Raw genomic sequence first — 21,853 nt, 5'->3', positions numbered from 1 at the left:
GAGGCACGGAGGGAGATAAGTCTTAATTCTGCCACTAGCTCGCTGGGAGGCCCTGGGCAAACACTTCTGTCTTTGGCATTTCTGGGCCTCTGTTTTCCTCCCTGGTAAGACAAGATGTTCTCTCACCGGGAGGTGGATTTGGAGTCAATGCAAAGAAGGGCCAGAGCCCGGACAGGTGGCGGGCTCTCATCCCTACCATGTTCTTGAGGAGGTCAAACCACTCTAGACTCCAGGAATGTTGGGGGAATGCATGTTCCCAGTGGGGCGGTCATTTTTGCACCCCACCCTCAAGGTCAGTGAATACTCTAGGCCCAGAGGTGCTGTCTTCTGGACCACACAGTTTTGTCAGAATATTTTCTCCTAAAAGGGCCAAATGGCCATAAATGTGACCCCGATGGCCTTGCTGAAGCCGTCCACACCTCTGAAATCGCCCACTGGCCTTCAGGAGTCAGTCTTTGCCAACTTTCACAGGATCTTCTCACCCCATCCCCTCAACATTTGTTGGAATTTTCTCTGCTTTACGCACAAGGCTGTGGGAGCCCCGAGGGAACACAGCTTGTCAAGGACGCTCAGCACTTGGAGCAGCCAAAGCCCGATGCCACAAAGCCCCATAGGTGCCATCCCCCCTGACCAGGTGCTCCACCTGCCAATGTGCTTTTTCCTTGGCTTCCAGCGTGGCCTGGGGGTCTTAACAGAAAACCACTGAGCTCTGTGGCGGACATCCCAACCGCCACCAGGAACGCCTGCTCAGTGGGAATGGCACCTACGGGGACCTTGGGACATCAGGCTTTTCTAGTCTTTACTAGAGGGAGGTGATGCCCATTTCCCCACAGGACCCCTTCCCTGCCGACAGGAGGGCAGCTTCAGGCTCTGTTCCTCCACCGCACATACCTTGAAATGCACTTCCGACTCCTCTTCCTGAGTGGAGCTGGAGGGAGAGGGGGTCGCTGACTTGCTCCCCGGCGGTGATGGGGAGCTGTGGGCGATGCTGCTCCGGATGCCCATCTGCGAGATGAGCTGGGACTGGCTGAGGGCACTCATGTGGCTGGCCAGCATTGCCGGGCGACCCAGCAGGGGCCCGGGCCGGCCCGAGTCATAGGCAGCCACTTCCGAGTGGACCATCTCCTGGATCTAAGAGAGGAGGACAGGAGGGTTGAGTTAGGAAGGATCTGTCCTGCCACTCCATCACATCTGTGCTAGCGGACTTAGAGGAGGGAATGCAGAGGAGAAGTGATGGGTGCGGCTCCTGCTCCGATCCCTGACAGGTGAATCTCAAGATGGAGCCTCATGCTACTTGGACCTCTGTATGATTAAGTGCACTCGTGGGAAACCGGCAGCTCCGTGGCTGTGTGCCATTCTACTGACATTCACCTCGGACAGACGCTTTGCATTTCAGCCCCTGCCAGAGAGCTCAGTCCAGTTATGTTGGATCATTTGATGAGACCGAGTCTTCCCTCCTGGAATGCAATATGTCTCTGCATGAACTGAGCAGTCAGCATGATAGCAACGCACACAGATGCTGGACGACGCTAACTACATTTTGAATCCTGGTCCTGCCATTCTACCAGCTGGGTGACTTTGGCCAAGTTACCTAACCTCTTTGTGCCTCAGTTTCTTCATCTGTAAAATGTGGATATGAGCAAACCTACATTCTAGGGTTCCTTAAAGATCAAATGTACCTGGCATACAGTAAGCCCTATATTGTATAAGCATGTGTTAAATACATTGAATAAATAAATTTCTTGATAAAGTTGAGTACTTTTCTTCCTACAGGTCAGCAATTTTGTTATTAACTCCATTCCCCATGATATTTTCTAACTGGTTACTTCTGGAAAGTTATTGGTTTTACATATAAGCATTTTTCACACTAAACACGCATTGAGGATAGGACTTTGGACCTAAATATATGTCCACACCCTGTTGAGTGAAGCATACCTATTTGCATACTCTTACGATTTTTATTTCCTCTGCATCTGTGGTTATTTATTTGCCCTTTCTAATTTCTAACAAACATCAAGTATCTGTTTTTCTCCCATTTTTTCTTCATTAGGAAAGCAAACAGGTTTTCAGTTTTATGTGGGTTGTTTCTTTTCTCCTCAAAAGAATCAAATCTCAAGTGTATCACTTCTGCTTCTCTGTTTTCTAATTCTTTGTCTTTAGCTATCCCTTCCTCCGCATTTTAAAGATTCATAATTGCTGCTTCCCCCTCAATTTTGAGTTGTATTTTATTTTTTAATTGACAAATGACAAATTGTATATATTTATATGTACGATATGTTTTGATGCATGTATACACTGTGAAATAATTGACATATTCATCACCTCACCTAGCATTGCTTAGATGAGAACATTTAAAATCTACTTTCTTCTTTGATCCAAGAGTTGTTCAAGAAGACTTCTGGAATACCATTTGACCCAGCAATCCCATTACTGGGTATATACCCAGAGGAATATAAATCATTCTATCATAAAGATACATGCACGTGTGTGTTCACTGCAGCACTATTCACAATAGCAAAGACACGGAATCAGCCCAGATACCCATCAAAGATAGACTGAAAGAAAATGTGGTACATACCTATCATGAAGTACTATACAGTCATAAAAAGGGATGAAATCATGTCCTCTGCAGGGACATGGATGGAGCTGGAAGCCATTATCCTCAGCAAACTAATGCAGGAACAGAAAACCAAACACCTCATGTTTTCACTTGTAAGTGGAAGCCGAACAATGTGAACGCTTAGACACAGGGAGGGGAACTACACACTGGGGCGCGTTGAGGGGGCAAGGGGAGGGACAGCATCAAGAAAAATGCTAATGCATACTGGGTTTAGCACCTAGGTGATGAGTTGATAGGTACAGCAAACCACCGTGGCACACATTTACCTAGGTAACAAACCTGCACATCCTGCATATATACCCTGGAGCTTAAATTTAAAAAGGCTAACAAAAAGAAGAGTTCTGGAAATTCTAAGTGGCTAATTTTCTTTTTCTTTTGGCTACAATTTCCAGTAACAAAAATTATCAAAGTATGGGGTCTGTACTATTTACAAGTTTGAGATTTTGTTAAGGTTTTCTTTGAGACCCAAATATGATTAAATTGTGTACATATTCCACAGTCCTTACAAAGAATAGGCTATGTTTGCAGATGAATACAGCAGTATATTTTTCCATTCCATCAGTGATTATTCTTTAGATTCCTTACCTTTTTGGCTCTTTAATCTTACACAGGCTTGTCCAGATTGCCTGCAATTTTTCTGTTTCCATAAAAATATCTCCTTTTAATGCTTAAAGTGTTTGTTTTGGGAATTTGATGTCGGTTTTGTTTTGAGACAGAGTTGTGCTGCATCGCGCAGGCTGGAGTGCAGTGGCGCGATCTTGGCTCACTGCAACCTCTGCCTCCCAGGTAGCTGGGACAACAGGTGGCACCATCATGCCTGGCTAATTTTTGTATTTTTAGTAGAGCGAGACGGGGTTTCGCCATATTGGCCAGGCTTGTCTCAAACTCCTGACCTCAAGTGATCTGCCCACCTCGGCCCGCCAAAGTGCTGGGATTTTATAGGCATGAGCCACCACACCTGGCCCTGATATTGGTTTTTATTACAAAAAGAAGACAGACAATTGTATCTTCATTATGGATTAAACTCTTTATTAAGTATCTTTTTTGTCTCATTTTTTTTTTTGCCTTGAATTCAGTGGAGTCTGATATGAATAATGCTGTCCTTGCCTGTATGTTTGTTTGAATGTGTCTGGCATGTATTTTATTACAAATCTCTTAGTTTTTATTTTTTAGGGTTACTTTTGTCAAATGTTTTTGTTATGATCAGCTTTAGAAATTGAACTCTTCCCTTATGCCCTGGAACAGTATAGATAACATATAAATTACATTTTCCTTAGAGAATGAAAGAGCTTAAACAGAAAACCATCTGAGGCCCAGTGCTTTTTGTTTTCACAATATCCTTCATGGCTAATAGGTCTATTTCAGTTTCCATTTTCTCTCGAGTCAGTTTTGGTAAATTATACATATATATATATATATATATATATAAATTCATTTTATCCAGATACTAACATGTACTAGCATATAACTGGATAATATATTTAAAAATATACTCTGTGGTTTTCATCAGTTCCCATTCAAAATTGTAATATTGTGAATACACGTTGCTTTTTAAAATTTTCCTTCTCAAAATTTATTTTATTTATTTTTTTGTGACGGAGTCTTGCTCTGTTGCCCACACTGGAGTGCAGTGATGCTATCTCGGCTCACCACAACCTCTGCCTCCACCTCCAGGGTTCAAGCAATTTTTCTGCCTCAGCCTCCTGAGTAGCTGGAATTACAGGTGCATGTCACCACACCCGGCTACTTTTTGTATTTTTAGGAGAGATGGGTTTTTGCCATGTTGGCCAAGCTGGTCTCAAACTCCTGACCTCAAGTGATCCACCCGTCTCAGCCTCCCAAAATGCTGAGATTACAGGCATGAGCCACCACACCCGGCCAAAAGTTTATATATTTCAACTGTCTAGCCAAAGAACCAGCTCTTATATTTTATTTTTTTTTTTTTTTTTTTTTTTTTTTTTTTTAATTTTTTTTTATTGATAATTCTTGGGTGTTTCTCACAGAGGGGGATTTGGCAGGGTCATGGGACAATAGTGGAGGGAAGGTCAGCAGATAAACAAGTGAACAAAGGTCTCTGGTTTTCCTAGGCAGAGGACCCTGCGGCCTTCCGCAGTGTTTGTGTCCCTGATTACTTGAGATTAGGGATTGGTGATGACTCTTAACGAGCATGCTGCCTTCAAGCATCTGTTTAACAAAGCACATCTTGCACCGCCCTTAATCCATTTAACCCTGAGTGGACACAGCACATGTTTCAGAGAGCACAGGGTTGGGGGTAAGGTCACAGATCAACAGGATCCCAAGGCAGAGGAATTTTTCTTAGTGCAGATGTTAAAAAAATTTGACAACTTTCATGATAATTCATTAAATTCTGCTTTCTTCTCTATTAATGTTGACTTGAGGTAGCATATGTTGTTTTTTACATAGGTTTTCAAATTAAGCTATTTTCACATTTTCTTTTTTAGTAACAGAAACATCTAGGGCAGGAGTTGAGATGAGCAATTTTACCATGCAGGGGGCATTTCTCTGAAGACATTTTTGGTTCTGACAACTGGAGGGTGGGAAGCTACTGGCATCTGCTGGGTAGTGGCCAGGGATGTCCCCACTAAACAAAGAATTATGCATCCCAAAATGTCAATAGTGCTGAGGTTGAGAAACTCTGCACTGTAACTATGATTTTTCTCCCAGGGAGAATTTTAGCTACATCATATAAGTATTTTTAAAATAGTCTACATTGATGATTTTATTTTCTCTCTGACCCTAAAGTTATTTGGAAGAGTGTTTTTATTTAATGTATCCTTTGTTATCAAGATCAGAGACCATGACTCCCAGAATTTTATCTTTTTGGAAAGTACTGAGATTTTTGTTATAGCTTAGGATATGATCAGTTTGTTTTTCCTTTTTAAAAACTTTTAGGTTCAGGGGTATATGTGAAGGTTTGTTATAGAGACAAATTGCATGTCACAGGGGTTTGGTATACAGACTATTGTGTCACCAAAGTATGATCAATTTTTGCAAAACCGTTCATGTATATTGGAAATAATACTGTATATTGTACAAATTTCTCCATATGTCTATTCAATAAACAGTTTTGACTACTTTACTTTAGGTGTAAAATCTCAAAAGAATTGGCTTATTTCACTTAGCTTAAGGTACTCAAGGTTCATCCATGTGGTAGCTGAATCAGAACTTTCTTCCCTTTTTAAGGCTGAGCAATACACCCTTGTATGTATAGACTACATTTTGCTTATCCATTCATCTGCTGGTAGGCAGTTGGTTGGGCATTATGAATAATGCTGCTAGGAACGTGGGTGCACAAGTATCTCGTGGAGACTCTGCTTTCAATTCTCTTGAGTAGACATCCAGAATTCCAATTGCCGTATCATATAGTAATTCTGTTTTTTAATTTTTAAGAAACCACCATACTGTTTTCCACAAAGCCTGCCATTCCTATTGTGTTTCCAGCAGTTTCTCTCTAAAATTTAAACAGATTTTCTGCATACACACTAACGTGAAGTTATTTATCCTGTAAATGTCCCAGAATGTTATGTCTTTACTGTGGCTTCTCCTTGCTCATAAAAAATAAGCATCTTTGCCTTAATGTTTCTGTCTTACATCCTACTTTATCTGCTATCATTATCACTCTAAGTTTTCACTGTTTTATTTTTGTCCTGCATAATTTTAAGTGTAAACAGTGTGTAGGTAGATACTGGTTTCTAACCCAGTTCTTAATATATTGTGACATATATGTATTTGATTATTAATCATACAAATATCTGAGAGACAGATTTAAAGTGAACTGTTTTATAGAAGGTTTTAAAATGTATTCTCCAAACATTCTCCTCTTCCCACCCCATAGCTTACGCACTCTCACCTTCTATAAGCCTTAAGCAAGAATCTGGCATTAGCTCCTCAAGATCAAATCAGCTTTAGAACTCTGTATTAGGGCTTGTTTTCTTTTTCTTCCCAGTGGCCTGCTTTAGAATTCTTCCATCAGATATTCCTGACTTGGTGATTTAATATTTTTACCAACTCTTGATAATGGCGGATTTTTGAAGTTTTGCAAACCTGCTAAGTGTGAAATTCTCTCAAAGTCATTCTGATTTCCACCATTCTGATCACTAGTGAGGGTGACCACCTTTTCATAAGTTTACTGGACCATTTATGTTTCTGCATACACTGCTGTTAGGAGTGTAGACTAGTATGTAAAACACTTTAGAAAACAACCTGGCAACACTCAGTATATTGAAGATGCAGATATCCTATAACCTAGAATTCTACTCCAAGATGTTTACTATAAAGAACTTTCACACATGCACAAGAAGACATACACACAGTGTGGAAAACTGCAAAAGACTTCAAGATGGACAAATGAGTGTCATTCAATGAACTGCGGGGCATTGTCCAGCAGACCTCTGGGGTTACCTGCTTCTATAGGAGTACACGTCTTTGTCTAGGCTATTTATTTTACAACTTTGTAAGCTCTAGAAAGGTGACATTAATGCAACTGATTTTTTTAATCATTAAAAATTTAAATTGTGATAAAATACACATAAAATTTACCATCAACCATTTTTAAGTGTACAGTTCAGTGGCATTAAATATGTTCACGCCATTATGCAGCCATCACCAGCAGCCGTCTGCAGAATTCTTTCCATTTTGCAAAACTGACACTCCATCCCTAGTAAATAAGAACTCCCCATTCCTCTCTTCCCCCAGCCCTGGAAACCACTCTTCTACTTTCTGTCTCTAGAACTATGACTACTCCAGGTACCTCAAACAAGTGGAATCACACAGTATTCTTTCGTGACTGACTTATTTCACTTAGCTTAAGGTACTCAAGGTTCATCCACGTGGCAGCTGAATCAGAACTTTCTTCCCTTTTTAAGGCTGAGCAATACACCCTTGTATGTATAGACTACATTTTGCTTATCCATTCATCTGCTGGTAGGCAGTTGGTTGGGCATTATGAATAATGCTGCTAGGAATGTGGGTGCACAAGTATCTCGTGGAGCCTCTGCTTTCAATTCTCTCGAGTAGACACCCAGAATTCCAATTGCCGTATCATATAGTAATTCTGTTTTTTAATTTTTAAGAAACCACCATACTGTTTTCCACAGTGGCTATATCACTTCAATTCCCACCAGCAACACACAAGGGTTCCGGTTGCGGTTTCTACACATCCACGCCACTCGTTTCTCTCTCTCCCTCTTTTCAATAGAAGCCATCCTAATAGGTGTGAGGTAGAGTGAAACCCATTCTTGTCCATAAAAATGCAAAGAAATTTTGTCCGGTAGGGATATAATTGATCCCACCCTGTAAAAAGGATGATTCCAAACATTATGTTTGGTTGCTCTATAGCCATTAAGCAGTTTTGCATTTCTTTTTTTTTTTTTTATGCTTTAAGTTCTAGGGTACATGTGCACAACATGCAGGTTTGTTACATATGTATACATGTGCCTTGTTGGTGTGCTGCACCCATTAACTCATCATTTACATTAGGTATATCTCCTCATGCTATCCCTCCCCACAACCGCCCCCCACAACAGGCCCCAGTGTGTGATGTTCCCCTTCCTTTGTCCAAGTGTTCTCATTGTTCAATTCCCACCTATGAGTGACAACACGTGGTGTTTGGTTTTTTGTTCTTGCGATAGTTTGCCAAGAATGATGGTTTCCAGCTTCATCCATGTCCCTACAAAGGACGTGAACTCATCCTTTTTTATGGCTGCATAGTATTCCATGGTGTATATGTGCCACATTTTCTTAATCCAGTCTATCACTGATGGACATTTGGGTTGGTTCCAAGTCTTTGCTACTGTGAATAGTGCCGCAGTAAACATACATGTGCATGTGTCTTTATAGCAGCATGATTTATAATCCTTTGGGTATATACCCAGTAATGGGATGGCTGGGTCCATTTCTTAGAAAATTTATCTCACCATTCCTGTTTGCCTATATATGTGTCTACTCTTCAGATTCACCTTTGAACCTGTTGTCATATCTTACTGGATTCCTCATTAATCACGACTTAAATAAATTTTTGGCATGCTTTCATCTTATATTTGTATGAGAGTTATGATGTTACCTTTAGAAAGTTATGCATTACAACAAAGATGATCATTATGGCATTTAATTCCAAAAAAACTGGAAATAATATAAACATTCACTAACTGGGAGATGGCGAAAATCTGTGGTGTATTCACATAATGGAATTCTGTAGACGGTTAACCTGACCAACGTGGACCTACAGCTGCCAATGCAGATGAACTCAAAGACAATAACCAGTGAAGATAGTTTCAGAAGGACACATACAGTATAATGCCTTTATGAACACGTTTAAAATATAAAACATCACTGTCAGGTGTTCAAGGATATATGAAAATGTAGTAAAAGCATAAAAACACTCACTGCAGAATAGTGGTTATTTCTTTCTGAGAACAGAGAGGTACAAAGGGACCTTAACTTGTACCTGCAATATTTATTTCTTCAAAAGCAGATCCAAAGCAGCAGCAACAACAATATGGGCTCTTCCAAGCAGAGTGTTAAACTTAAATGTGATGAGTTCTGGGAAGTCTGGAATGAGGGGAAATGGCTGGTACCTACATAACTTAATTGGCCACATTAGGCACCCTGAAATGTCTGAAACAGGGTCAGCCTCATCCCCTCATCCCCAACCTGGGCTCCAGACTCCCACATCCAAGTCCCTGAGTGACATCTTCCCTCGGATGCCCCGCAAGCATATAAAACTTCACATGCTGCAAATGGAGCTCTTCCCTCTCCTGAAAACTGTTCCTCCTCCAGTTTTACCAAAATAGTAAAATGGCACTGCTGTTCTTGCTGTCACCCAAGCCACAAACCTGAACAGAAACCCTGACTTCTCCCTTTCCCTTACAACCCCAGGCACTAGCCAGGACACGCCATTATTGGTTCCACCTCCATAATGAATCCTATGTCTTTCACACTCCTCACATCCCAAGCAATTAATATCTCTCTATATAAATAAGTCAGGCCAGGCTACTATCCTCCTTAAAATTCTTCATTGGCTTGTTGATCCTCTTAGAATAAAATCCGATCCCCCAAATAATAATGACAACAATAATAATGGCTTTTTTGAGTCTCAAAGTTTCTTTGAAATAAAAACATTGCACTATGATGTTTTTAATGTGGGTAACAGATTTAATTTTGCTGATATTTGCTAGGTCCTTTGGAACATTTTCCACTTTCTTCAGATAAGTGATATTTTCTACAATTATTTGATTATTGCCTTTTTGCTAAGTTTCCTATTAAACACATTGAATCATCACGATCTTTTATCTTTTCAGTCATAATTTTGAGCCCTTTAACTTCTCCCTTGGAGTTTTGGGAGAAAACCTGGAGCTGATCATCTTCACTTATTTGGTTACAACCAGTGTTGCTCGCTGCTTTCAACAAACTTTTACATCCAGTGGTCACATATTGATATGGTTTCACACTCAAATCTCATCTTGAATTGTGGCTTCTGTAATTCCCACATGTTGTGGGAGGGACCCAATGGGAGGTAATCGAATTACGGGAGTGGGTCTTTCCTGTGCTGTTCTTGTGATAGTGAATACGTCTCATGAGATCTGATGGTTTTATAAACGGGAGTTCCCCTGCACAAGCCCTCTTGTCTGCCGCCACGTAAGACGTGCCTTTGCTTCTCTTTTGCCTTCCGCCATGATTATGAGGCCTCCCCAGCCCTGTGGAACTGTGAGTCCATTAAATCTCTTTCCTTTATAAATTATCCAGTCTTGGGTATGTCTTTATTAGCAGCATGAGAACAGACTAATACACATGTTTTACCTGAAAGCAATCTTTCCTGATTGCAAATTCTTCTCATCACATGGATACACCGTATAATTGAAGTTTATTATGAATGTTTTTGCCTATTTTTTGGAGTAAGATTCTCAGAATGTGTGCTCTTTAGAACTACGGATTTTGTACAATTGTCCAGTGACTTTTCTTTATATCCTGATTCCTAGATTCGAGCCTGCACACTGCAAAAGCAAATACTTGTTGGACCTATTTAATAAAATTAAAGCCACAACAGCAGAACTGGATGCGATTCAGGAAGGATGTCAAGTCTCTGTGGAGAAGCTTCATTCTTGCTATAGTTACAAATACATTCTCAATATATAGTCGGACCTTTCATGAGTCCATGCTTTGTGATGGACACAATGGCAAGCTTTGGGGATGAGAGCGCCCACTTCCCCAACCGCACTTCAGGGTCTCACAGTCAGAGAGACAGTTCCCTTCATAAAGACAGTACATGACTGGCTATTCTTAGATAAAAACCAGCAAAAACATGGGGACAGCCACTAAGCATCCCAGGTTTTCTAGGGCATTTAAAAAACTTTGTCCTAACTTCCCCACGGTGAAAGATATGCCTCTCATTTGAGGCCTGCTAGTTGAGGATGCCCGCTGTAGTGGACACTGTCGGTGCCGGACCCCGCCCCCTTTACCATGCTTCTGTACCCATTCCCCTGTGTGCTGGGATCATCTGCACCTGCCCCCATCTCCAGAAAAGTGGCCAAATGGGAACTGCTTCTCCCAGGAGACTATGACATCTTAACGCCAACAGCCCACCTTGCAGCAGACCTCACCACTGCTTGACTGGCACAGGGGTGCTAAAGGCCACCCTGCTGGCTGTGCAGTGAAGCTGCGCTCCAGGGCTCCCTGTGGAATCAGCCTGAAGCGAGTCTCCAGCCGAGGCTACATCCATGCTCAGCCCCTTCCCTTGCAATCCCTGATTCCTGCAGCCCCTCCCTCAGTAAACAACCTTCACAAGAACCCCATCTCAGGCTCTGCTTCTAGACAGCCCCCACCTCCATCAGTTCAGCTCCTGTCTCCCCTGTCTGTCGGCTGCATCTCATCAATATCACTCCTCTCCCATCTTTTAAAATCTCTCTTAGCTCCAGGTCTCTTAAAAACTTCTGCCCCAACTTTCCTTCTTCTCCATGCAGCCAACTGTGCAAAGAATTGTCTCTCCTCACTGTCCTTGGGCCACTCCCCCCACCAGCGACTCACCTGGCATCTGTCCTCATTACTACCCATACCGTTGTAATCAGTGTCCTCACCACCATCCTCATCAGGAGGAAGAGAAAGAGGAAGAGGAGGACAGATTTTTATTAAGCACTTAATATGTGCCAGACACTGTGCTGACCATGTCCACTTATGACTCATTTAATCACAACTATACAGGAGGCGGAATATAATCATCCCCAGCAGAAAAAGCCAAGTCTCAGGCCAAGAGACTTGCCCATAATCACACAGCTACTAAAGGTGGAGTTGAGCTTCTCCAAAGTATCACCCTCCTCCCTAAGTTATGATGCCTTCCCCAAGACACTTCTCCATCCTCAACTCCTGGGCCTGCTGCCTCCCCTCCCAGCTCCCTTTCCTTTCTCCAGGGCCCAGTGCTTGACTGTCCAACCACCTCTCCAGCCAGTCCTTCCTGCTCTTCTTCAGCCCACCCACTAAACGCTGGTGTTCCTAAGGTTCTGACATTTCCTCCCATCTTACTTTCCTTCCAAGTAAGTCTGTGGCTCCTCCATAGACACCTACAGATAGGGGCATCCCCGTGATGATTCTAAAATTCCCAAGTTTCACCTCAAAACGTGTTTTGCTTAAAGCCAATTTCAGCCTTTAGAAGAAGAAAGTTGAGCTCACAAGAGAGGGACACAGAAGTGGTGAGACCCTGCCCATCCCTCCATGCATTCTAGAACACTCTACCAGCTCACGAGACCCCTACTCCAATCAGAACCCACACCCCGCTGCCCCAACACTTTTAGCAGCTAAGGCCTTTTGTCCTGATCAGCTGCAGCAGATGCAGTGGAGACCCTGCCCCCCGGCCCTCGGCCCACCTCGGGGGTCCCTACAGAGGGTTATTGTGCATGCGGACAGCTTCCCTCGGCACCCTGCCTGAGGGTGTTCTGTGCCCCAAACAGCCTGGAAGTGCTGACCAACTGGGGCCCCAGGAATGACCCTCAGCCAGTGAGGAACAGGAGTTTGTAGATGAAACCTCGACTTCCTCTCCCCTCAGTGGGACGATTCTGACTTGCGTCCTGGAAGACTTGACATCCTTCCCGGATCACATCCACAAGTCTTTCAGAGGGTCCACAGCAGGACCCCGTTCCTGTTGCCCACAGAGGTAACAACCCATGACTTTCTTTCCTTTCAATCTCACTTGCCTTTTTCCCTCCAAGGGCTTCCTGGGTTCACCCCTGAGACAAACTACTTGCACCCAAACCTTTGTGTCAGGGTCTGTTTTCAGGGCTATCTCAAGCTATGCAGCTCTAGTCCCAGCCTCCAGCATGGCCTCCTGAGTCCAGGCACCATGCTGGCCCCTGCAGTGACCCTTCTGGAGCATGAAATGTCGCCTCCCTGCTCTCCATCTCTCAGCAGCTCCCAGGGGCCCACTTAGCAATGGCCTAGCCATGTAAAATGCTCCATGAGGATCTGTACAATCTCTCTCCTCCTGACCTCTCCAGCCCCTTCCCAGAGCTCCCTGGGGACATGTGGGCTTCTCTCTAGACTGGACACCTGCCCTCTGTGTCATCCTCCTTTATGGCTTACCTGAAATGTCACCTCCTCAGAGAAGCCTTCCCTCTCCTGCTCCATCCTCTGGCCTCACCCTCTTTCCAAGCCTCTGGCAGAGCTCTCCACACGTTGCCTCCCGGCATCTGCTCAAGTGCAGAGACACCTGCCTCCCAGCACCAGGCAGAGGGCTGGGCAGGCAGCCGGCACTCATGAGATGTCTGGGAACCAAGTGAAGCCAGCCTCCTGCTTCCCTCTTGGAAACATATGGCCACGCTCCCGAGCCACATCTGCACCCGCCCCAGGAAGGAGGAGACACGGAGGCAGCAGGAACGAGGCGGCTGTGAATGTAATTAGGATCGCAGAGCTTAATAGCTTCGCAGGGCTGCAGGAACACAAGGGCGTTTTTCACAAATTCCCCATTTGCAGTCTCTATGGAGAGCAGCCCCGTGTGCTTAGTGTAACCCCACACAGTGAGGAGAGAACAAGAAAAATCACACCTTCCTCCTTCCCGCCTTCTGCCGATTCACAGAGCTGGCAGCCACCCTGCGTCCTCCGAAGCCTGAATGAGCTGTCATTCAACACAGCCTCACACTCAGCCCAGGAAGGCGGAATTTTTTTTTTTCTTTTTTTCCACAATTAAATTTTTTTATTTTCTTCAGCCTGGAAAGGTGGAATTTTTTTCCCCCACAATTAAATTTTTTTCTTTTCTTTTTATTGACAAGTCATAGTTGTATACATGCATAGGGTCCAATCTGATGTGCTGACAGATGTATACGATGTAGAATCAATCTTCTGATGGCAACAACGGCTATGTTCAATTGTGCTCTTATTTAAGTCCCTGCTTCAGTTTGAGAGGGTTCAGAAACGTCTCCTTAATTCCTGGACTCTGTTGCCCAGGCTGGAGTGCAGTGGTGCAATGACAGCTCACTGCAGCCTCCACCTCCCAGGCTCAGGCGATCCTCCCACCTCAGCCTCCCAAGTAGCTGGGACCACAGGTGGAGCCACGGAACCCGGCTAATTTTTTATATTTTTTGTAGATACAGGGTCTCTCTATGTTGCCCAGGCTGTTCTTGAACTCCTGGGCTCAAGCGATCCACCCTCCTCAGCTCCCCAGAGTGCTGGGATTATAGGTGTGAGCCACGGCACCCAGCACTTCTCGTTAATTTCTGAGCACAATCAGAAATTAAAGCATAGCAAGAGTGACCTTTATTCCAGTTTTCAATAGGTTCCTCATCTCCATTTGAGACCACTGAACTTCATTGTCCATATCATTATCGGCATTTTGGTCAAAACCATTCAACAAGTCTCTAGGAACTTCCAAACTTGCCCACATCTTCCTGCCTTCTTCTGACCCCTCCAAACGGTTCCAACCTCTGCCTGTTACCCAGTTCCAAAGTTGATTCCACATTTTCAGGTATCTTTGTAGCATCGCCCCGTTACTGGTACCAATTTTCTGTATCAGTTCATTCTCATACTGCTATAAAGAACTACCTGACACTGAGTAATTTAAAAGAGTAGCACTTTCCAATAGATCCCAACGTCTTTGTTTTATAGAAAATGATAGCAATAATAATAATGATAATAATATCTAGTATTTCAGTGAGTGAGGGCTCACTACACCCCAGGAACCATGCTAGAAGAGTCACCAACAAATCTTTGATGGAAGCACTCTTATCACCCCCATTTGACAATAAAGACACTGAAACCCAGAGAGTTAAGTGATTTGCCTAAGATCACACAGCCAGAAAGTGGGAAAGCCAGAATTCTGCCTGTCTTCTGAGTCTGAGATGTTTTCCACTGTATCCATACAGATCTTAACAGCTTCAACATGGGGTAACAATGACCCTGCCCTCATGGGGCAGCTGTGAGGATCAAACAAAAAGCTAACTTTGTACAGAGTCAGACACCTAGTGTGTTCAAGACGAAAGTTTTCCTTTCTTCATCCCCTCATTAACTTGCTTAAGGTATGAGCTTGAACTGCACCTCAACTGGGCTAAGAAGAGGTGAGAAATGACTGGGCGCCATGGCTCATGCCTGTAATCCCAACACTTTGGGAGGCCAAGGTGGGTGGATCACCTGAGGTCAGGAGTTCAAGACCAGCCTGACCAACATGGTAAAACCCTGTCGCTACTAAAAATACAAAAATTAGCTGGTCATGGTGGTGGGCTCCTGTAATCCCAGCTACTCGGAGGCTGAGGCAGGAGAATCGCTTGAACCCGGGAGGTAGAGGTTGCAATGAGCTGCGATCGCACCATTGCACTCCAGCCTGGGCGACAGAGCGAGAATCCATCTCAAAAAAGAAAAGAAGAGGTGAGAAACAATAGAAGGTTCTGAAATCTGAGAGGAGAGGGATGCCAGGAGGGAGCCTCCAAGGACACTAAAAATGACAGCACCCAGCCTGGCACAGGAGGGCACTTCACAAATATTCGCTATATTTGTCAGATCCAGGGGTTGGCAAACTCTGTAAAGGGTCAGACAGTAAATATTTTAGGCTTTGTGGGCCAGATGGTCTCTAATCACTACTCAACTCAATTCTGCTGCAGGAGCAGGAAAGCAGCCATAGATGAGAATGCAAATGAAGGGCTGTGGCTGTGTTCCAATAAAACCTTATTTACAAAAATGGGCAGAGGGCCTTTGGCCCAGGGCCACAGACTGGCAATCCTTCTGGTAGTGGAGTGTGGTAAGTAGAAGCGATGGTAGAAATGTTATCCTTTATGTGGCAGGTAGCATTTGCCAGACACTGACCTGTTGACCAGTTACTTCTTACTCAGGCATGCGAGAAAGGGGTGCTTATCATCGACATTTTACAGATGAGGAAACTGAGGCTCAGAATGAGAAGTCACGTGCCCAAGGTCATTTGGCCGTAGGCGGCACAGCTGGATTCACATGAATGTCTGTGTGGCTCCCAGGCCTGTGTCCACAGCCCTACCCCATTGCTGCACCCACTTGCCCAGCACAGCCTCAGTGAACACCTACTCAGTGTGCTCTCACTTGGCCAAGCCCTGTGCTGGCCACAAGCTGAGCTCTTGCTCTAACCTTGCGTTGTAGCCTCTCTCTAAAATCAGTGCAGCTGTGACCCCTGCACGGCCCGACGGCCCCCTCAGGACCACAGGACTCAGTTCTCCAGCTGCCGGGCATATGGGCTTCTGACAGCTCGCAGCTGCAACCCTCTCCAGGAATTGCCTGTGGCTGATGGAGCTGCTTCCCCCATGGTTACAAGCCCTTCCAAGGGGTGGTCTACATTCACTGATGTGGGGGTTCAAAGGCCCAGCCCCGTTGACTCAATTTGGGACATCTCAGAAGGCGCATCCTAGCATTCCAGAGCTCACTGGATTGGCTGAAGCCTCTGTAGCAATGCACGTTGGTTCAAGTTCTCTCTCTGCCCCAGGCTGCTTCCTTTACTTCTCATGGGTGACGTTCCTGAGAGTGCTCCCCTAAAACTTGCTGTGCACAATCTCCATCTCGGAGTCTGTTTCCAGGGAACCTGACAGATGACAGCCACCTGGCTGGCCCATATTACCCCATTACCCAGCACATTCAAGCTCTCTGCATCTCCCTGGCATTGAGCAGGGTCCCAATGCCTGGGCAAGAACCAGCCTCTCCCCACGCATCAGCCACGTCTCCCTCCAGCCCTTCAGCAACCCTTGTTGAGTATGTCCAGTGCTGAGTGCAGATGCTGGGTTAGAGAACACATGGCTGACCAGAACACAGTCCCTCCTTCAAGACGCCTTGTGTGGTGGTCGTGGGGGAACAGGAGTAAGACATGTGCAGCGACCTTCCCACCTAGTCTGCAGAAGGCGGCGGCCACCGAGAGGAAGTGGAGTCTGGCCTGACTCTTGCAGCTGCTCAGGAGTTAGCTGGTGAAGAAGGTGAGGGTGTCCAGGAAGAGGAAACAGCCTGTGCAAAGCCGTGGAGCTGACATGGACCTGGCAGGACCCAAGGTGGCTTCACTGAGGCTTCAGAGGCCAGCAGGGATGGACAGCAAAAGGCCTGAGAGCCAGAGTAGGGGAAGGCTCTCCCAGACCCATGGGGAGCCATCGAAGGGATTTCAGCAGGGGAGGACGTGTTCAGAATTGCCCGATGGAACCACTCTGGCTGCACATGGATGAGGCAGTTGAGAGAGGAGACAAGAGGTCCCAGAGAGGGGGCTGGTACAGTCTATGGCAGTGGCCAAATCTACCAGGTAGGTCCGAGAGGCACTGAGGAAGATTGATATTGACAGGTGATTGAGTGGAATGCGTGGGATGAGTAGTGGCTGAGTCAAGCAAGACTCTTGGGATGAAATGGTGATAAGGGGTGGCTATTGCAATTCTCTGAGGTGGAGACATAGAAGGAGGAGCAGGATTGAGCAGAGTGAAGGTGATGAGCACAGGCAGACATGTGTTAAGTTTTGGGAGCCAACAGGGTGTCTATGGAAGCTAACATGTTCACAGGGTCTGGGAATTAGGATGTAGACATCTTTTGGGGGTATTCTCTTCCAGCCCACCACACTTGGATCAATGATGTGAGAAGTCAAGACAAAGCTCCTGCATGCCAGTCCTGGAAGGAGAAGCAGAGGTCACAAGTCTGGAGTCCAGCCTGGAAGTCTAGACCTGGCAGAGAGGCCTGGATGGTGACAGAGACCCAGAAGTTGGCCACTGTTCTGTCCTCTGACTCTGAGCTTCCTTGAGTCACTGCCTCGAGCCTCTTTCTCACATCCTCTGCAGGCCTCTGTCTTGAGCTGCCCTCATCACAACTCTTTCTGTGGCCATTTCACTTCTCAAGACCTCCCAGAGCTCCATGCTGCTCCTGGTACTCCATTCATTCATTCATTCCATAAACATTCCCTGAGGATTCTTATGTCTGAGACCCTGAGCCAGAAACACCCCATCGCAGGAGTGCACATTCTGGTGGGGGAGGCAGAAATGACCCCACAATTTTAAACAGTGCAGCAACCCAGGTGTGCCTGGGGTCCTGTGGGGTGCCAGAGAAGGAGCCCCTCCAATACCTGGACAGCCAGGAAGCCTTTCCACAGGAAAAAAAAAAACTGAACTGACTCTTGAAGTCTGCAGAAGATAAGGAGGGTGCAGAGGGTGTACCAGGAGCAAGAACGGCACATGCAAAGGCACTGAGGCATGGGCCAGTGCGATGAGCTCTGCAAGCTGCCTGGAGCCTGGCAGGGCTGGAGTGATGGGTAGGGTGGCAGATAAGGATAAAGGGGTATCCAGAGGCTGGGACTTGTTGGAGGGTAAGCATGCTTGCAGATGCTAAGTGGATGGCCACAGGCAACAGGTCTGGGCACTGATAACTGACAAGAAGCCCTATGATCTGCAGCATATCTGCCTCCCCAGTGAAAGTCGACACGTCTCAGTCCTCTGAGAAGGCAGCAGAGACTCTGTGTATTAGTTTCCTGTTGCTACTGTAATAAATTACCACAAACTTAATAAAAATTCCTTCCGTTGCAGGAGCAAGAACAGCACATGCACCTCCTGGAAGTCAGAAGTCCAAAATGAGTCTCACTGAACTAAAGTGAAGGTGTTGGCAGGGCTCGTTCTCTTTGGAGGCTCCAGGGGAGAAGCATTTCCATAATTTTTTTTTTTTTTTTGGATGAACCGTATCCTCATGCCTTGGCTTGTGGCCCCACATCACATGACCTTTTTGCTCTCTGCTTCTGTGGTTTCATCAGCAGTGGTTCTGTCTGTTGGGCCCTCCCATCTCCCTCTTGTAAGTACTTCTGAAATTACATCATTGAGCTCACACAAATAAACCAGAGCCATATGCCCATCACAAGATCTTTACCTTCATCACATCTGCAAAGCCCCTTTTGATATATAAGGTAACACAGTTACAGGCCCCAGGGATCAGGACATGGGCATCTGGTGGGGCATGATTCAGTTTACTGCAGCCCAGAATCAATGATGTGGGAAGTCACAACTAAAGCTCCCCCATGCGAGTCTTCCCAGGGGCACACTGCTCTCTGAGATGTCCTGGGGCTTCAAGTGTCAAATAATTGAAAACTATCTCCTTTTTGGAAAAAAAAAATCTAGCACAAAAGAGAGGAAAAGAGAACCAATAGGAAGCCTCCCCCGTGCCTGCCTCTGGCCCCGAAGCCTCGTCAGTACGTATTGCTAATACACTTTCATGCTTGGTGGGAGATCCTTTGCACGCTGACAAATTTCTCCTGAAATGTAGATGTCTTGTTCAGAATAATAGCTGTAGCGCACAGGTGCCCAGCTGCTATTGTAAAATCAGTAAGCATTTAATTGAAACAAACGACTATAATAATAGCATATTATCCCTGCAGGCCAAGTGCCATCACAGTTTTAATTATTGAGTTAAGAGTCAGACTAATTTATCCTTTAAGGCAACAGCCCCATTCCTGGTGATACTGATCATCGTGTTATGAATATGAAGCCGCCGGCAGAGAAGCAGAGAAATGAAAAGCAATTTGTCCCCTTTGGGGGCTGGTTTTGTCTTAGAAGAAAGGTTTGCAAATACGGGTCACCAAGCCCCTGGGTCTGGGATTGCTCAGCTGGGGGTGTGAGGTTTCTGTTCAGGTTGGGATGGGGCTGTGGGGAGTCCCCGTGCTCCCCACCTCTGCAATACAGACCCTCTCTCCTCTGCTCAGAGCCAGCTCCAGCTCCCTACTATATCTCAAGTAAAAGCCAAAGTCCTTACTGAGCCACAAGCCCCTATAACAACTCAACCACCACCACCACCACCTGGCACCTCTCTGGCCTCCCCAACTCCAGTCCCCTCCATCACCCCTCTCCATCACATCCACCCCCACTTGCTCTTCCTTCAGCACTCGAGCAGCCTCCCACCACAGGGCTCTCTTCTAGCTCAGTGCATTTTTGTCCCCAGGAGATATCTGGCATTATGTGCAGACATTTTTGTTGTTACAACCGCGGGGACGCTCCTGGCATCTGGTGGGTAGAGGCCAGAGAAGCTGGCCAACATCCTGCAATGCACAGGGCAGCCCCGCAATGAAGAACAATCCAGTCCAAAATGTCAGTAGTGCTGAGCTGGAAAACCATGGGAGGTGAGCTACTGCCTCTGCATGGAATGTTCTTCCCCCACCCAGCAGGGGATACTCACCCTGCTCCCTCCCTCACCTACTGCAAGACTTCCTTCAAACCACAGTTTTATCAGAAGGCCTTCCCCGACCATCCTACCCAATACTGCAACCCGCTCCCCTGCCCCTCACACCGGGCCAGCATTCCCCATCCCATTATGCTTCTGTTCTTTCTTCCAAAGTACTTAACACCTGCTAACATACTGCATGACTTATTTAGTAGATTATTGTTTATTATCTCGCTCCCCCTGCTAGGATGTAAATTGCACATGGGCAAAGATCTTTGTTTTGTTCACTGATGTGTTGCTGGTATCTAGACCAGCGCCTGCTGGTATCTAGACCGCGACACCTAGCAGGGGGTTCAGTGAATGTTGAATGAGTTATCCACCAACCTCCCCCTCCCTTCACCCTCCACTTCTGCTGGGCCCTCAAAAGCACATGCCACCTCCTCCTGGTCTCCCAAATCCACCCCTTCTTGCCAAGGTTCAGAGCCCACTTCATTTTCCTGGCCTATGGTAAGTCTCTTAATGGGCAGCTTAGGCATTTCTCCAGCAAGTGCTTTTGGGTAACTCCCACAGGCCACATGGTGTATTCTCGGTTGGTTCTTTGAGGGCAGAAACAGTGGCCTGTGAACTGTCACAGCCTCAGGACCTAAACGGTGGCGGTCAATGAGCCACAGGACCTGAGACACAAAGAATGCAGGCACAGACCTTGCCACGCAGAAGGGGCCACCAAGTCCAGCGGGACAAACAGATGGAATGAGCTAATCGCACCAATATAGCACAACCCATGCTACTAATGCGCTCACCCACTTGACAAATGCAGCGTGCTCCTGTGACACAAGTATCTCACCCCTTCCAGTGAACGGGGAAAGTGGCATTGCAGAGGAGTCCTGCTCAGTCATACAGGCTTATTCCAGCGCAGTACTATTTTATGCTACCAAGGAACAGCGGCTGAACACAGAGGGCGCTAACAGAGCAGGACTCAGCAAACAGTGGAGGAAGCAGCGCTGCTTCCAATGCCCATTCGCCCACCTTCCCCCACCTGCCCTTGTGTACCACTTGGCCCACCTTCATACCACTTGGCCACCTGCTCTGGTGTAAAGGCGCCAACTGCTTGCTTCTCCATCTTTGTGCATTTTGCCCTTGTCTCCATAACTCAGCAGTGAACCTCACACCCACTTCCATCAAAATGTCTCCCCACCCTTCCTCAAAACCCCTTCCATCAAAATGCCTCCCCAGTTGTTACTGAGGGTTTTTAAGGAAGAATTTAACAAATGCTTTTTAATTGTGCAGATATATACATTAGGAATGTAATGGTTTTCTCTTAGTGCTCTGGTTACAAAGTTGCATAGACCTTGAGTAGTTTGTCCCAGCTCTATTTTTCCCATAAACTCTTGTTCTTAGGATTTTTCAGGTTTTTCAGGAAGGCATGTGTCACTTTATAGCAGGCACATCTGTATTTATTAACTATCTGCTATATGCCAGGCCCTGTGCTGAGCACTGGGACTCCCCTGCCCTGTGGAGCTCATCTACACCCAAATCAATACACAGTCACAGTGGTGGTGAGGGCCGAGAGGGAAGCCAAAGGCCAAGTGAGGCTGTAAGATCAGCGGTCAAGGGCACACT

At 45.8% G+C, this 21,853-nt stretch overlaps 1 protein-coding gene across 12 annotated transcripts in view; it reads right to left on the bottom strand.

Annotated features, from left to right (window-relative positions):
• The window catches only part of TOX2 (TOX high mobility group box family member 2), a 154,765-nt gene that overhangs the window by 17,180 nt on the left and 115,732 nt on the right, over positions 1-21,853 (bottom strand). For all 12 annotated transcript variants that reach the window (XM_047440561.1, NM_001098797.2, XM_047440565.1 and 9 more), the window contains one exon: positions 892-1,131. In XM_047440561.1, coding sequence (XP_047296517.1) covers positions 892-1,131 — 240 coding nt within the window. The remainder of the gene's footprint in view (positions 1-891; positions 1,132-21,853) is intronic.

Source organism: Homo sapiens, chromosome 20 (assembly GCF_000001405.40).
Source record: "Homo sapiens chromosome 20, GRCh38.p14 Primary Assembly".
Lineage (NCBI taxonomy): Eukaryota > Metazoa > Chordata > Mammalia > Primates > Hominidae > Homo > Homo sapiens.
Note: the sequence above shows the minus strand (reverse complement) of the source record. Positions and strands in the feature narration are given on the sequence as shown.